Source organism: Homo sapiens, chromosome X (assembly GCF_000001405.40).
Source record: "Homo sapiens chromosome X, GRCh38.p14 Primary Assembly".
Taxonomy (NCBI): Eukaryota; Metazoa; Chordata; class Mammalia; order Primates; family Hominidae; genus Homo; species Homo sapiens.
In genome coordinates, this window is record NC_000023.11 from 47,428,243 (window position 1) to 47,445,177 (window position 16,935).

Genomic DNA, 16,935 nt, shown 5'->3' on the forward strand with positions numbered 1-16,935 from the left:
CCAGTCTCAGGTGTTTCCTTATAGCAATGCAAGAAAGGCCTAACACACAGATTCTTGGGGGTGGTATCTTCCTCCTTTTTTTTTTGAGATGGAGTTTCGCTCTTGTTGCCCAGGCTGGAGTGCAATGGCACAATCTCGGCTCACTGGAACCTCCACCCCCCGGGTTCAAGCGATTCTCCTGCCTCAGTCTCCCAAGTAGCTGAGATTACAGGTATGTGCCACCACATCCAGCTAATTCTGTATTATTATTATTATTATTATTTTTGAGATGGAGTCTTGCTCTGTTGCCCAGGCTGGAGTGCAGTGGCATGACCTCAGCTCACTGCAACCTCTGCCTCCCGGGTTCAAGCAATTCTCTGCCTCAGCCTCCCGAGTAGCTGGGATTACAGGCACCTGCCACCATGCCCAGCTAATTTTTGTTAGACGGGGTTTCACCATCTTGGCCAGGCCGGTCTTGAACTCCTGACCTCGTGATCCACCCGCCTTGGCCTCCCAAAGTGCTGGGATTACAGGCGTGAGCCACCGTGCCTGGCGCTAATTTTGTATTTTTAGTAGACACCGAGTTTCACCATGTTTGTCAGGCTGGTCTCAAACTCCTGACCTCAAGTGATCCACCCACCTTGGTCTCCCAAAGTGGTGGGATTACAGGCATGAGACACTGCACCTGGCCATCCTCTTCTTTCTATCTTTTAAAAAAATAATATATATGTGTGTATATATATGTATATATGTATATGTATATATGTATATATAGTATATATGTGTATACATGTATGTATATATGTATATATGTGTGTATATATGTATATATGTGTGTATATATGTATATATACGTGTGTACATATATGTTTAATTAACTGAATGCTTGCCACAATCTTCGTCTTATAAGGACATCAGTCCTATTGGATTAGGGCTCCACCCTTTTAACCTAATTTAACCCTAATTATCTCCTTCTCTTTCAGTCACATTGAGGGTTAGGGCTTCAACATATGAATTTGGGAGGGCACAATTCAGTCTGTATCAACAACCCTCGGCTGGGTGTGATGGCTCACGCCTGTAATCCCAGCACTTTGGGAGTCCAAGGCAGGTGGATTGCTTGAGGTCAGGAGCTGAAGACCAGCCTGGCCAACAGGGTGAAACCCCGTCTCTACTAAAAATACAAAAATTAGCCGATCGTGGTGGCACATGCCTGTACCCCCAGCTACTTGGGAGGCTGAGAAAGGAGAATCGCTTGAACCCGGGAGGCAGAGTTTGTGGTAAGACAATATCACGCTGTTGCACTCCAGCCTGGGTGACAGAGCCAAACTCCGTCTCAAAAACAAAACAAAACAAAACAACACAACAACAAAAAAAAAACAAAAGAAAAACACAAACAAAAAAACTGGGGGCAATAAAGGCATGAAGGGCTAATGTACACACCTTCACAATTGTGTGCTCACCATCAAAATGAGGAGGGCCAAGGGAGGGTCTCCACCAGATGGATTCATTCACTTTATAGAAGGATCTGGGGAAGAGGAAGTCAGAGTGGATGCTGGTACAATATACAGTTTCCTCCCACAACATCTCATCTTTCTGTTTTTCCCTACCTGATGCAGTAGTCTCAGGACCAGAACTGCAACTGTAGCTTCCAGAAGCAGGGATGAGCCCTAAGCAAGAAACTTTAACTGTACTTTTACATGTTTATGTCAGAATTCCTAAGGGCTTGATATAGTTTGAATATTTGTCCCTGCCCAAATCTGTTTTTTGTTTTGTTTTGTTTTGTTTTTTCAGTAGAGACGCAGTTTCGCTATGTTGGCCAGGCTGGTCTGGAACTCTTGGGCTTAAGTGATCCACCCGCCTCGGCCTCCCAAAGTGCTGGGGTTACAGGCATGAGCCACCACACCAGGCCTCAAATCTCATGTTGAAATGTAATTGCCAGTATTGGAGGTGGGGCCTGGTGGGGGGTGTTTGGACCATGGAGGTGGATTCCTTGTGGGTTGGTGCTGTCTTCACCATAGTGAGTGAGTTCCCCTGAGATCTGGTTGGTAAGTGTGTGGCACCTCCCCCTGCCATGCTGTCTCTTGCTCTCCTGCTCCCACCAGATGAGACGCCTGCTCCCGCTTTGCCTTCTGCCATGATTGGAAGCTTCCTGAAGCCTCCCCAGAAGCTGAGCAGACATCAACACCATGCTTCCTGTAAAGCCTGTAGAACTAGACCGGGCGCCGTGGCTCACATCTGTAATCCCAGTACTTTGGGAAGCCAAGGTTGGGCAGATTCCCTGAACTCAGGAGTTCGCAACCAACCTGGACAACATGGTGAGATCCCATCTGTATTAAAAATACAAAAAAATAGCCAGGTGTGGTGGTGTGCGTCTGGGTCCTAGGTATTTGAGAAGCTGAGGTGGGAGGATCGCTTGAACCCGGGGATTGGAGGTTGCAGTGAGCCGAGATTTCACCACTGCCCTCCAGCCTGGGTGACAGTGAGACCTTGTGTCAAAACAAAACAAAAGCCCACAGAATTGTGAGCCAATTAAACCTCCCTTCTTTATAAATTACGCAGTCTCATGTATTTCTTTATAGCAATGCAAGAACAGCCTAACACAGGGCCTAACATGATAGACTGCGCCTTCACCTCATCTGGCAAATTAGGGTAAACAGTGAATGCATGCAGCTGTGTTACCTAGTGATTGAGGTAGCCCGCTAGTTCCACACCTATGTAACTATACCCTACATGGATGGGGGTAGACCGAGGCAGAAGCATTTGCTAGACTGGTATTGCTGCTGATAATCTAGACTAGCACAGAGGCTGAACCTAATGTCCCTTCCAAAGGTGGAAAAGTTGGGTCAAATTCAGCCATAAATGGAGAGAAAGAGGAATGGTACCTGAGAGTAAAAGAATGAAGAAATGTGTTGTGCAATAAGGAAAAGTCATTACACTGATGCCCTGAAAGAGGCCGAGAACAAGAGGTGACTTTATTTATTGGCTCAATTATACCGGATATCTGAAAGAATTAAGTGGCCAGGCGCGGTGGCTCAAGCCTGTACTCCCAGCACTTTGGGAGGCTGAGGTGGGAGGATTGCTTGAGGTCAGGAGTTCAAGACCAGTCTGGGAAACCTGGCAAAACCCCATTGCTTACAAAAATTACGAAAATTAGCCAAGTATGGTGGTGCATGCCTGTAGTCCAGGTTACTCAGGAGGCTGAGGTGGGAGGATTGCTTGAGCCCAGGAGGTCGAGGCTGCAGTGAGCTGAGATTGAGTCCACTGCACTCCAGCCTGGGCAACAGAGCAAAACTCCATCTCAAAAAAAAAAAAAAAAAGGCCAGGCGCAGTGGCTCTCGCCTGTAATCCCAGCACTTTGGGAGGCGGAGGTGGGTGGATCACGAGGTCAGGAGATCAAGACCATCCTGACTAACACGGTGAAACCCTGTCTCTACTAAAAATACAAAAAATAGCCGGGCGTGGTGGCGGGCACCTGTAGTCCCAGCTACTTGGGAGGCTGAGGCAGGAGAATGGTGGGAACCCGGGAGGCGGAGCTTGCAGTGAGCTGAGATTGTGCCACTGCACTCCAGCCTGGGTGACAGAGCGAGACTCCGTCTCAAAAAAAAAAAAAAAAAAAAAAAAAAAAGAAAAGAAAAGAAAGAAAGAAAAAAGAATGAAACCACAATGAAACCGTATGTTGCGAAAACTAACCTCAACATTTAGAACCTAACAAGGTCGATGCCTGTAAACCTCAGTGGCATTGCTCTGGGAGATGAACTGGACCAATTGTTAAGGGAACTCCAGTAATGTGCCAGTATCTTTTGACTCTTACTCTGCAGGTTACATTTACTACCATAGCATGATATAATGTAACACTGGCATTGTTGCTAAGATTATAATGTCTATATTGATGGTCAAACATATTGGTAAATTGAGTTAAAGCCTTTTCAAGATATAATACTAATAGAAAATGACTGCCTTGTGGAAAAACTGGTTTTGGCTAACCATCAGCTAATTTCTATGCTAAACAGTTTTTGTTTGTTTGTTTGTTTGTTTGTTTTTTAAGACGGAGTCTCGCTCTGTCGCTCAGCCTGGAGTGCAACGGCATGATCTTGGCTCACTGCAACCTCCACCTCCTGGGTTCAAGCGATTCTCAAACCTCAGGCTCCCAAGTAGCTGGGATTACAGGCACATGCCACCATGCCCGGCTAATTTTGTGTTTTAGTAGAATTTCACCATGTTGACCAGACTGGTCTCAAACTCCTGATCTCAGGTAATCTGCCCGCCTCGGCCTCCCAAAGTGCTGAGATTACAGGCGTGAGCCACCACGCCCAGCCTGCTAAATAGTTTTGTACAAGTTTACATAAGATACAAATAGAGGGAGATCAAAGAGGAAGAATAATCAAATTAGTTCAAAAAGCCGGGCTTGGTGGCTCACGCCTGTAATCCCAGCACTTTGGAAGGCTGAGGCGGGCAGATTGCTTGAATCCAAGAATTTGAGGCCAGCCTGGGCAACATGGCACAACCCTGTCTCTACTAAAAATACAAAGAATTAGCTGGGTGTGGTAGCATGCACCTATAGTCCCAGCTACTCTGGAGGCTGAAATGGGAGGATCACTTGAGCCCGGGAGACGGAGGTTGCAGTGAGCCGTGGCTGCACCACTGCACTCCAGCCTGGGTGACAGAGACACTGTCTCAAAAAAAAAAAAAAAAAAAAAAATTAAAAAAAACCCAAAAAGCAAACAAAAAATAAAATTAGTACAAAAATATGAAGATGTATATAATGGTTTGATAGGATGAATTAGTTTTTTACTATTATTATATGTCACATAAATGCTATACCAAAAGTAGATGCCCAGACAAATACGATCATTTTGCTGTGAATGAGTCTTGGCCAAAGGCCAGGGGTCACCTGTGTATTAAGGAATTTAACTTTATCTGAAGAGAGGTCTGGCCTTTGCCATCAGATTCCAGTTGGTAATCTCTAAGCCCTTGGACTGTTGTGTTTGATAGGAGTCTGTCTCTTTGTTTGCTTGGGGGTCTTGGGCCAGTCGGATTGAAGCAATGTGATTTAGGGTAGGGGATTTAGCCCAGCCAGATAATAGCTATGTGATTTAGGGTAGGGGCTTGACCTCCTGAGGGCTGGAAACTGAAATCAACCACGTGGACAGTCAATTTTTCCTACATGATGGAGCCCTGGACACCAAGGCTTGAGTGAGTTTCCCTGATTGGTAACACTCCATGCTATTGTCACACAACAATGCTGAGACAGTATTGCTGTTGTGATTCCACAGAAGAGGACAACCGGAGGCTCTGCATTTATTACCTTCCTGGACTCTGCCCTGTGTATTTCACCCCTTGGCTGATTTTAATCTGTATCTTTTCACTGTAATAAAGTGAAACCATGGGTATAATGGCTTTCAGTGAGTTCTGTGAGTCCTTCTAGTGAATCATTGTTTTTTTTATTTTTTATTTATTTATTTATTTTTTTTAGAGAGAGAGTCTCCCCTCTGTCGCTCAGGCGGGAGTGCAGTGGCACAATCTCAGCTCATCGCACCTCTGCCTCCCGGGCTCAAGCAATTCTCGTGCCCCAACCTCCCGAGTAGCTGGGATTAGAGGCGCCTGCCACCACGCCAGCTAATTTTTGTATTTTTAGTAGACATGGAGTTTCACCATGTTGGCCAGGCTGGTCTCGAACTCCTGACCTCAGGTGATTCACCAGCCTCGGCCTCCCAAAGTGCTGGGATTACAGGCATGAGCCACCAGCCTAGCCTCTAGTGAATTGTTGAATCTGAGGGTCTTGGAGACCTTTGAGTTTGCAATTGGTGTCAGAGGTGGATACAGTCTTGTATGGTGATTATTCCCTCTAACTTTTGCACAAGATAAACTACAAACATCCATTTATTGTCCATAGACTAGCAATTAACAATAAGAAATTGAACTTAAAAATGAATACCACACAATAAAGTGGAAATAGAACAATATCAAGTAAAACAGCATAAAAAATATGAAATATTTAGGGGATAATTTGTCAAAATATGTGAAAGATGTGTACACTGAAAAATACAAAATATTACTGAGAGAAATTAAAGAAATGGAGAGGGGGCTGGGCATAGTGGCTCTCACCTGTAAGCCCAGTGCTTTGGAAGGCTGAGGTGGGAGGATTGCTTGAGGCCAGGATTTTGAGACCAGCCTGGGCAATATAGTGAGATGCCCATCTCCACAAAAAATAATTTTTAAAAAATTAGCCAGGTGTAGTGGCACATGCCTGTAGTCCCAGCTACTCTCAAGGCTGAGGCAGGAGAATTGCTTGAGCCCAGGAGTTGGAGGCTGCAGTGAGCTATGATCATGCCACTGTACTCCAGCCTGAATGACAGAGTGAAACTGTCTCAAAAACAAACAAACAAACAAACAAACAAACAAACAAACACACAAAAAAACCAGAAACAGAAAAGAAAGACATGGAGAGGTATCCTGATTTATGAGTCAGAAAACTCAATATTGGCCAGGTGCAGTGGCTCACGCCTGTAATCCCAGCACTTTGGGAGGCCGAGGCGGGTGGATCACCTGAGGTCAGGAGTTCGAAACCAGCCTGGTCAACATAGTGAAACCCCATCTCTACTAAAAATAAAAAAAAAATTAGCTGGATGTGGTCATGTGTGCCTGTAATCCCAGCTACTCGGGAGGCCGAGGCATGAGAATTGCTCCATCCCGGGAGGCAGAGGTTGCAGTGAGCTGAGATTGCACCATTGCACTCCAGGCTGGGCAACAAGAGTGAAACTCCGTCTCAAAAAAATAAAAAAAGAAAAAAAGAAAAAAGAAAACTCAATATTGTTAAGATTTCAATTCTGGTCAGGTGTGGTGGCCTGTAATCCTAGCATTTTGGAAGGCCGAGGTGGGTGAATCACTTGAACCCAGGAGTTTGAGACCAACCTGGGCGACATGGCGAAACCCCATCTCTACAAAAAATACAAAAGTTAGCTGGGCATGGTGGTTCGCGCCTATAATCCCAGCTACTCAGGAGGCTGTGGTGGGAAGATCCTCTGAGCCCGAGGAGGTTGAGGCTGCAGTGAGCTGAGATCAAGTCACTGCACTCCAGCCTGGGCGACAGAGCGAGACCCTGTCTCAAAAACAAAAAAAGATTTCAAATCTCTCCAATTGATCTATGGATTCAAACCAATCCCAATAAAAATCACAACGGCCTTTTTTTTTTTTTTTTTTGCAGAATTGGATAAACTTATTTTACAATTCATATGGAAATGTAAAGGACCTACAACAGCCAACACAGCTCTGACTTTATTAAATTTACCTACTTGTGCAACCGTCACTACATTCAAGTTCTAAAACATTTATATAGTCCCAGTAAGATCCCTTGTGTGTGTGTGTTTTTTTTTTTTGAGACAGGGTCTCGGTCTCTCACCCAGGCTGGAGTGCAGTGGCACAATCACGATTCACCGCAGCCTCAACCTCCTGGGCTCCAGCAGTCCTCCCACCTCAGCCTCCCGAGTAGCCAGGACAGCAGCCGTGTATGTATCACCATGCCCAGCTAATTAAAAAACATTTTTTTTTATAGAGACAGGGTCTTGCTTTGTTGCCCAGTCTGGTCTTAAAGACCTGGGCTCCAGTAATCCTCCCACCTCAGCCTCCCAAAACGCTGAGATTTTAGGCGTTAACTTCTGTGCCTGGCACCTTGTGCTAATTTACAGTTAATATCCATTAATTGTAATTCCCACCTTCAGACAACCAGTAATCTACAGATCTCTATAGATTTTTTTTTCTTAGACAGTCTTGCTCTGTCACCCAGGCTGGAGTGCAGTGGCACGATCTCGGCTCACTGCAACCTCCACCTCCCAGGTTGAAGCAATTCTCCTGCCTCAGCCTCCTGAGTAGCTGGGATTACAGGCACACGCTACCATGCCCGGCTAATTTTTGTATTTTTAGTTGCTTAGTATGTTTTTGCGGTTCATCCCTGTTGTATTTCTCAACATTTTATTCCTTTTTCTTGGTAAATGTACCACATTTTGTTTATCCATTTGCCAGTTGACAGGCTTTTGGATTGTCTCCTTTTAGCTAGTTTGAATAATGCTGTTCCGAAGATTCAAGTGCAAGTGTTTGTGTGAACATTTGTCACATTTCTTTTGGATAGATACCTTGGAGTAGCACTGCTGGGTTGTATATATGGTAAATTTTTGATCAACTTTCTTTGCTTTTTGAGACAGAGTCTCGCTCTGTCACCCAGGCTGGAGTGCAGTGGCATGATCTTGGCTCACTGCAACCTCTGCCTCCTGGGCTCAAGCGATTCTCATGCCTCAGCCTCCCAAGTAGCTGGGATTACAGGCACCTGCCACCACGCTCAGCTAATTTTTGTATTTTTTAGTAGAGATGGGGTTTCAGCATGTTGGTCAGGCTGGTGTTGAACTCCTGACCTCAGGTGATCCACCCACCTTGGCCCCCAAAGTGCTGGGATTACAGGTGTGAGCCACTGGGCCTGGTCAAATTTTTGATCAATTTTCTAAGAAGCTGCCAAACTTTTCCAAAGTGGCTATTACATTTTACATTCACAGCAGAAATGTATGAAGGTTTCTTATTCTCCACATCCTTGCCAACATTTCTTATAACTGACTTTTTAATTAAAGCTACTTTAGTGTATATCAAGTGGTATCTCATTGTGGTTTTAATTGGCATTTCCCTAATGACTTATGATGCTATGCATCTCTTCATGTGTTATAGGTTGTTGTTGTTGTTTTGAAACGAGGTCTCACTCTGTCACCCAGGCTGGAGTGCAGTGGCTCCATCACAGCTTACTGCAGCCTCGATCTCCTGGGCTCAAGGGATCCTTTTGCCTCAGCCTCCCAAGTAGCTGGGACTACAGGCTTGTGCCATCGAGCCCAGCTAATTTTTAAATTAGTTTGTGTAGAGCCAGGGTCTCGCTTTGTTGCCCAGGCTGGTCTCGAACTCCTGGGCTTGAGCAATCCTCCTGCGTCAGCCTCCCAAAGTATCATGTGTTTATTTGTATATTGTCTTTGGTGAAATGTCTTTTCAATATTTTTGTCCATTTAAAAACATTTTGGAATTTTCTTAATTTTTTTTTTTCAACAATAAAATACAAACCATTGTAACAAAAAGGGGGATTTAAATAGTATAGAAATTGGCCAAGTGCGGTGGCTCATGTCTGTAATTCTGGCACTTTGGGAGGCTGAGGCAGATGGATCATCTGAGGTCAGGAGTTCGAGACCAGCCTGGCCAACATGGTGAAACCCCGTCTCTACTAAAAATACCAGAATTAGCTGGGCCTTATCGTGCATGCCTGTAATCCCAGCTACTTGGGAGGCTGAGGCAGGAGAATCGCTTGAACCCAGGAGGCGGAGGTTGCAGTAAGCCGAGATCACACCACTGCACTCCAACCTGGGTGACAGAGTGAGACTCTGTCTCAAAATAAATAAATAAATAAATAAATAAATAAAATAAAATAAAATAAAACAGTATAAAACCATATAAAGAGAAGCACTTCCTTCCTCAGTGCACTTGCATACTCTTCCCATTAACAGTCTGACATGACCTTCCAGACCTTTCACTGTGCATTTATAGAAACAAACATCAAAAACTGTGTTTGCTGTGTGTTTTTACATAAATGAGGTCTTGCTGCGCATACTATTCTGTAATTTGGTTTTTCCTCCCGGCAATGTTTCTTCATTAGTGTCACCGTGCGCCCCTGCCGTATGGATGTGCCCCAGTTTCTCAACCAATACCCAAGTTATGCATTCAGGATGTTTCTGGTTCTTCTCTACTACACACTAAACACTTTATTTTCTTATTCTTCTGGTATAAGGTATGCCACACCATTCTCATCTTCTAGTGACCAAGGAGGAGTCTCGGCTCAGAGAGGAGTAGGACAGACCAGGGTCGCTCAGCAGAACCCTAGCAGGCAGGAACCTGACCCGGCCAGAGACATGCCTGCTTGGAGCTGAGCGGGTGGCGAGGCAGGCAGGGGCCAGCAGGAGCATCTGCCTGGGACAGAGTGGCCGTGAGGAGTGCGGGGGCAACCTGGCACTTCCCTACCCTATGCAATCCCTTTGCCTTCAGCATGGGGACACTGACACCTACACCCAACCTCTTTTGCCCATTTTTAAACTGGGTTGTTTGTCTTCTTTTTGAATTCTTTTAATTAGAGATGAGGTCTCCCTAATGTTGCCCAGGCTGGTCTCCATCTCCTGGGCTCAAGTGATTCTCCTGCCTTGGCCTCCCAAAGTGCTGGGATTACAGCGTGAGCCACGGTGCCCAGCCTGAGTTGTGTTCTTTATACATTCTGGATACAAGCCCTTTATCAGATACATGATTTGCCAGTGTTTTCTCCCAGTCTGCATTTTTTTTTTTTTTTTTTTTTTGAGACAAGGTCTCACTCTGTCACCCAGGCTGGAGTGCAGTGGTGTGATCATAGCTTAATGCAGCCTTGAACTCCTGGGCTCAAGCGATCCTCCCGTCTTGGCTTCCCCGAGTGCTGGGATTACAGGTGTGAGCCACCACACCTGGCCACATTTTGCTTTAATGTCTTCTATAGAACTAGGTCCTTTCAATGTTTTAGGAGGTTTTTTCCTGTTTTTGAAAGGATTCTTGACTTCTGATCTTGGTGTTGATGGTAGTGAGTCATTTTCATCTCGTTTGATTTTTGTGTATTTTTGGCTGGAGTGCCTCGTATAGATTTCTCCACTGGGGCTTTTTCTTCAGTTTCCTCATTATGTTCACCATCTTCATCATCTTCCTCATCATATTCATCTTCATCAGTAGCAAGTTTTAGTTTATGTGGATACTTGCTGCTGCTTCCAGGGGCAGATTGCTTTCCAGATAGACTTAGGGATTTGGCATCCTCCTCTTCATCTGACTCCTCCACAGCTTCTAAGTGCTACTAATATGCATAGGCCCTAAACCACACTTCAATTGTAAGACAATAGCCAGTGTTATTTCCAAGCCCACAAGAGAAGCTTTTGGCTGTACAAACATTTGCAAAGTTGCCAGTGTTACTTTTTTTTTTTTTTTTTAGAGACAGTCTTGCTCTGCCGCCCAGACTGGAGTGCAGTGGCGCGACCTTGGCTCACTGCAGTGGCATGACCTTGGCTCACTACAACCTCTGACTCCCAGGTTCAAGCGATTCTCCCACCTCAGCCTCCCGAATAGCTGGGATTACAGTCACCCGCCACTACGCCTGGCTAATTTTTGTATTATTAGTAGAGATGGGTTTCACCATGTTGGCCAGGCTGGTCTTGAACTCCTCACCTCAGGGGATCCATCTGCCTCGGCCTTCCAAAGTGCTGGGATTACAGGCGTGAGCCATTGTGCCTGGCCAACCAGTGTTACTTTTAATTGGACTGCTTTCATATCCATTGCCTCTGCTTCAGCAACGTGCAATTCACCCTTTGCACCCGCCCCTAAACTGTCCTTTCTGAAAGATAACTGGTGCTCATTTTCATCATTATCCACTTTAAAGTGATCAATCTTTGTCTGCCTTTAGTTTGCAACCAAAAAGATACTTCTGGGAGCTCAGGGGGCTCATATCCATGTCCACTGAATCTTCCATGGGGTGGTGGCATGCACTTAGATAGGAGGGAAGGTGGATGGAGCTAAACGACTACTGTTCCAGAGAACAGTCACACAGAATCACATTGGTGCAAGCTACTTTGATTCAATTTTGAAGGTTGGCCGGGTGCACACACCTGTAATTCCAGCACTTTGGGAGGCTGAAACAGGTGGATTGCTTGAGCTCAGGAATTCAGACCAGCCTGGACAACATGGTGAAACCCTGTCTCTACAAAAAATACGAAAATCAGCTGAGTGTGGTTGCATGCGCCTGTGGTCCCAGCTACTTGGGAGGCTGAGGTGGATTACTTGAACCCAGGAGGTTGAGGCTGCAGTAAGCCTAGTGATCACCCCACTGCACTCCAGCCTGAGCAACAGAAGGAGATCCTGTCTCAAAAAAAAAAATTCAAACGGCCTTGAGTCACTGGAGTAAACCCCACTTGGTCATGATGTATAATTCTCGATAGGTTGCTAAATTTAATTTGCTATATAGTTTTCTCGTGATGTGTTTGTTTGGCTTACATCTCAGAGGTCTCTTAGGTCTCAATACTGGCTTCATAGGGTTGGAGAGTGTTCATGCCTCCTCTATCTTCTGAAAGATTTTGTAGAGTGTTGGTATTATTTCTCCTGTAAATGTTTAATAAAATTAATCAGTTAAACTATCTGGCTTTGGGTTTTTCTTGTGTGAACAGATTTTAACTTACTTATTACAACTCTTTTCATATTTTCTTTCTTTCTGTCTTTTTTTTTTATTTTCTGAGATGGAGTCTCGCTCTGTTGCTAGGCTGGTGTGCAGTGGCGAGATCTCGGCTCACTGCAACCTCTGCCTCCCAGGTTCAAGCGATTCTCCTGCCTCAGCCTCCCGAGTAGTGGGGATTACAGGCGCCCACCACCACGCCCAGCTAATTTTTAGTAGAGACGGGGTTTCACCATGTTGGCCAGGATGGTTTCAATCTCCTGACCTTGTGATCTGCCCACCTCAGCCTCCCAAAGTGCTGGGATTACAGGCATGAGCCACCGTGCCTGGCTCTATTCATATTTTCTATGACTTCTTGAGTCAGTTTTGATAATTGGTGCACTTTTACAAATTTGCCCATTTTGTCCAAGTTGTCTAATTTATTAGCATAAAGTTTTTATAGAAGTATCTTGTCATCCTTTTCCTTTCTGTAGGGTCAGTGGTCTTGCCTCCTAATTTTGGTGATGTGTCTTCTCTCTTCTTGGTCCATCTAAATATTTGTCAATTGTGTTGATCTTTTCAAAGAATCAACTTTTGGTTTCACGAATTTTCTTTATTGTTTTTTAAATTTATCCATTGCAATGATTTCCATCCAAATCTTTATCATTTCCTTACCTCTGCTTGCTTTAAGTGTAGATTGCTACATTTCTACATTTTTAAGGTGGGAGCTTAGATTATTGGTTTGAAATCTTTCTCCGTTTTTCTTTTCTTTCTTTTTGAGATGGAGTCTCGCTCTGTCACCCAGGCTAGAGTGCAGTGGCACAATCTCAGCTCACTGCAACTTCTGCCTCCCGGGCTCTAGCGATCCTCCCGCTTCAGCATCCCAAGTAGCTGGGACTACAGGCACGTGCCACCACACCTGGCTAATTTTTATAGAGACGGGGTTTTGCCATTCTTGCCAGGCTCATCTCGAACTCCTGAGCAATCTGCCCGCCTTGACCTCCCAAAGTCCTGGGATTACAGGCACGAGCTACCGTGCCACCCTCTCCTTTTCGAATATAGGCATTTAAAGCTATACATTTCCCTTTAAGTACTGCTTTAGTCGCATCCCATAAATTGTGGTATGTTGTGTTTTCATTTTCATGCATTACTTTCTAATTTCCCATTCATGGCTTATTTAGAAATGTGTTAATTTCTGGCCGGGCCCGGTGGCTGTCTGTAATCCCAGCTACTTGGGAGGCCGAGGCGGGTGGATCACCTGAGATCTGGAGTTCGAGACCAGCCTGGCCAACATGGTGAAACCTCGTCTCTAATAAAAATACAAAAATAAGCCAGGTGTGGTGGCAGGCGCCTGTAATCCCGGTTACTCAGGAGGCTGGGCAGGAGAATTGCTTGAGCCCAGGTGGTGGAGGTTGCAGTGAGCTGGGATCATGCCACTGCACTCCAGCCTGGCCGATGGAGCGACACTCTGTCTCAAAAACAAAAAACAAAACAAAACAAAACAAAATGTGTTAATTTCTAAATATTTGTGGGTTTGTCCAATTTCCTTCTCTTGTGGATTTCTAGTTGTTATAGTCAGAAAACATATTTTGTAGAATTTAAGCCCTTTAAAATGTTTTGAAACATGTTTTATGGTCTAGCATAGATCTATCCTGGAGTGTGTTCCATATGTATTTGAAAATAATGTGTATTCTGCTGTCGTTGAGTGCAGTGTTCTATTGGTGTCAATTAGGTCACATCAGGTTTATAGTGTTGTTCAAGTCTTCCATATCCTTGATGATTTTATTTCTAGTTGTTCTATTAATTCCTGAGAATGGGTTATTGAATTCTCCAACTGCTATTTCTGAATTGTCTATTTTTCCCTTTGTTTCTGTCAGTTTTTTGCTCCGTGTGTTTCGAGGCTCCTTTGTTAGATATATATATATATAGTTTTATAAATATATATTATATTTTTAATAAAATATACATTGATATACAATTTTATAAATTTATATAAAATTAAAAAAATATTTTTCTGATGAATTGACCATAGTATCATTATAAAATGACCCTTTTGTGTTTAGTAACATTTTCCAACTAAATTTCTATTTTGCCAGAAATCAGTATAGCCACTCCAGCTCATTTATGTTACTCTTTGCATGTTAGATATTTTTCCATCATTTTACTTTCAGCGTATTTGTAACTTTGAATCTAAAGTGTGGCTTTTACAGGTAGCATATGGTTGGATCCTGTCTTCATCCTAATATGACAGTCTCTGCCTTTTGATTGGGGAATTTAGTCCATTTATTTCGAATATAATTATTGATATGGATAGATTTACATCTGCCATTTTGAGATTTGTTTTCCTTAGCTCTCATATCTTTTTGTTCTTTCTCTTTCTCTCTTTTTTTTTTTTTGGTGAACTAGATATTTTATTTTTTTTTATTTTTTATTTTTGAGACAGTGTCTTGCTCTGTAGCACAGGCTAGAGTGCAGTGACACTATCATGGCTTACTGCAGTCTCCAATTCCTGGGCTCAAGCGATCCTTTTGCTTCAGCCTCCTGATTAGCTGGGACCACAGGCATGTACCACCACACGTGGCTATTTAATATATAAAGACACCAAGTCTTTAACTATTAAATGCAACATGTGGACATCCTCAGAGACAGTTTCTAGTGGACTGGTATTTTTTTTTCCCCTGTGTATGGACCAGAATTCTCTGTGTGTGCAGTTTGTTTGTTTTGCATGTCTCATAATTGTTAAAAAGTTGACACTGTAGATAATATATATTTTAGTAATTCTGGATTATGACCCCACCCTCCACAGTTATTATTGTTGCTGTTGTTTTTTGTTTGTTTAGGGACTCATGGGGACTAATTCTGTAGAGTTTTTCATCCCTCAGTGTGCAGTTACTGATGTCTCTGCTTAGTTTTTTTTTTTGAGATGGAGTTTCACTCTTGTTGCCCAGGCTGGAGTGCAGTGGTGCGATTTCAGCTCACTGCAACCTCCACCTCCCAGGTTCAAGCGATTCTCCTGCCTCAGCCTCCCAAGTAGCTAGAATTACAGGCATGCGCTACCACACCTGGCTAATTTTATATTTTTAGTAGAGATGGGGTTTTACCATGTTGGCCAGGCTGGTCTTGAACTCCTGACCTCAGGTGATCCTCCTGCCTCAGCCTCCCAAAGTGCTGGGATTACAGGTGTGAGCCGCCACACCTGGCTGTTTAGTTTTTAAATAATTCTTTCCGTTTTTATGCCTGGCTTCCTTGGGGTCACCTGTGGGTCTGCATAGCTTATTTTTATCCAATGATTGCTTAGAAGTTGTGATTATACACCTCAAACCAGTATGGCTTCCACTAAGGGGATAACTGTGTGAGTTTGAGTACGCATATTAAGTTCGGTCTGCTTGTAAGTCTGTGCTGGCATTCATTTCGGCTTGTATAGGGTCTCACATTCATCTAGGTACCTGATATTTTGTGGTCATGTACACAGCCTTCCACATCCTCATGCATATGCATGGACTTATCAATTCCCACTACTGCTGTCTTATTTTCCATATCCCTTTAATTTTTTGTCTGGTCTGCTGCTCACTCAAACAATGTTGCAGCCTCAGGCAGCTGTGAGGTTGGCCTTCCCCAATTACTTGCTACCAACATTGCTGTTGTTTTTGACAATACCCCTAGGCATGGAGCTTTTCTCTGGAGCTCAGAGTCAGGTCAGCTCCCTCCATTTACAGTGAGGCTTCCATTCCTCATGGCTACCATGCCCACAGAGCTGTGGATGGGAGCAGCTCCAAGTCTAAATGCCATAGACCCCACTATTCTTATCAAGGTTTGGTAGTTTTTGACCATTTAAAAAAAGCTTTTGGGGGAGGGGTTTTGATGAGCTCCTCACCCTACCATTCCAGAAGCTCCACCTCTGGACAAGTGATGGTTTTTCTTTTTTAAGAGACTGGGTCTCACTCTGTTACCCAGGCTGGAGTGCAGTGGTGTGGATCATAGCTCCCTGCAGCCTCTAGCTCCTGGGCTCAAGCAATCCTCCCACCCCAGCCTTCTGAGTAACTGGGACTATAGGCATGCACCACTACCCCTGGGTAATTTAAAAAGAATTTTTTTAGAGACAGGATCTTGCCATGTTGCCCAAGCTGGTCTTGAACTCCTGGCCTCAAGTGATCCCCCCATGTCAGCCTTGCAAAACACTGGGATTACAGGGCATGAGCCACCATGTCTGGCCTGGACAAGTGACTTTTGACAAAAGTCAAAATATTGAGAAAGGGTAGTATTTTTAAACAAATGGTGTGGAAACATTTGAATATCCATAAGCAAAAACAAAACAAAACAAAACAAAAACATAAAAGAACTTGGATCCATATTTCACACCATATAACTCAAAATACATGCTAGATCTAGATGTAAAACTTAAACCTTTAGAAGAAAACACAGGAAAAAATCATTGTAATCTTTGGTTAGGCAAGGATTTCTTAGATACAGCACTCAAAGCACAACCCAGAAATGAACAAATGGAAAGAACGGACTTCATCAAAATAAGCAGTTCTGTTCTTCAAAAGACACTCTTAAGAGAATGAAAAGACAATCCAGAGACTGGGAGAAAACCTTTGCAAGGATAATGGACTGATAGTGAAGTTACACCCAGAATATATTTTTAAAAACTATCAGTGCTCAACAATAAAAAAACCCAAATAACCCAACTGATAATGGGCAAAAGATTTAAACAGACACTTCATCAAAGA

The 16,935-nt window shown here is 43.9% G+C and overlaps 1 pseudogene; it reads right to left on the reverse strand.

The window, feature by feature from the left end:
• On the reverse strand, positions 10,494–11,615 carry NPM1P49 (nucleophosmin 1 pseudogene 49; annotated as a pseudogene).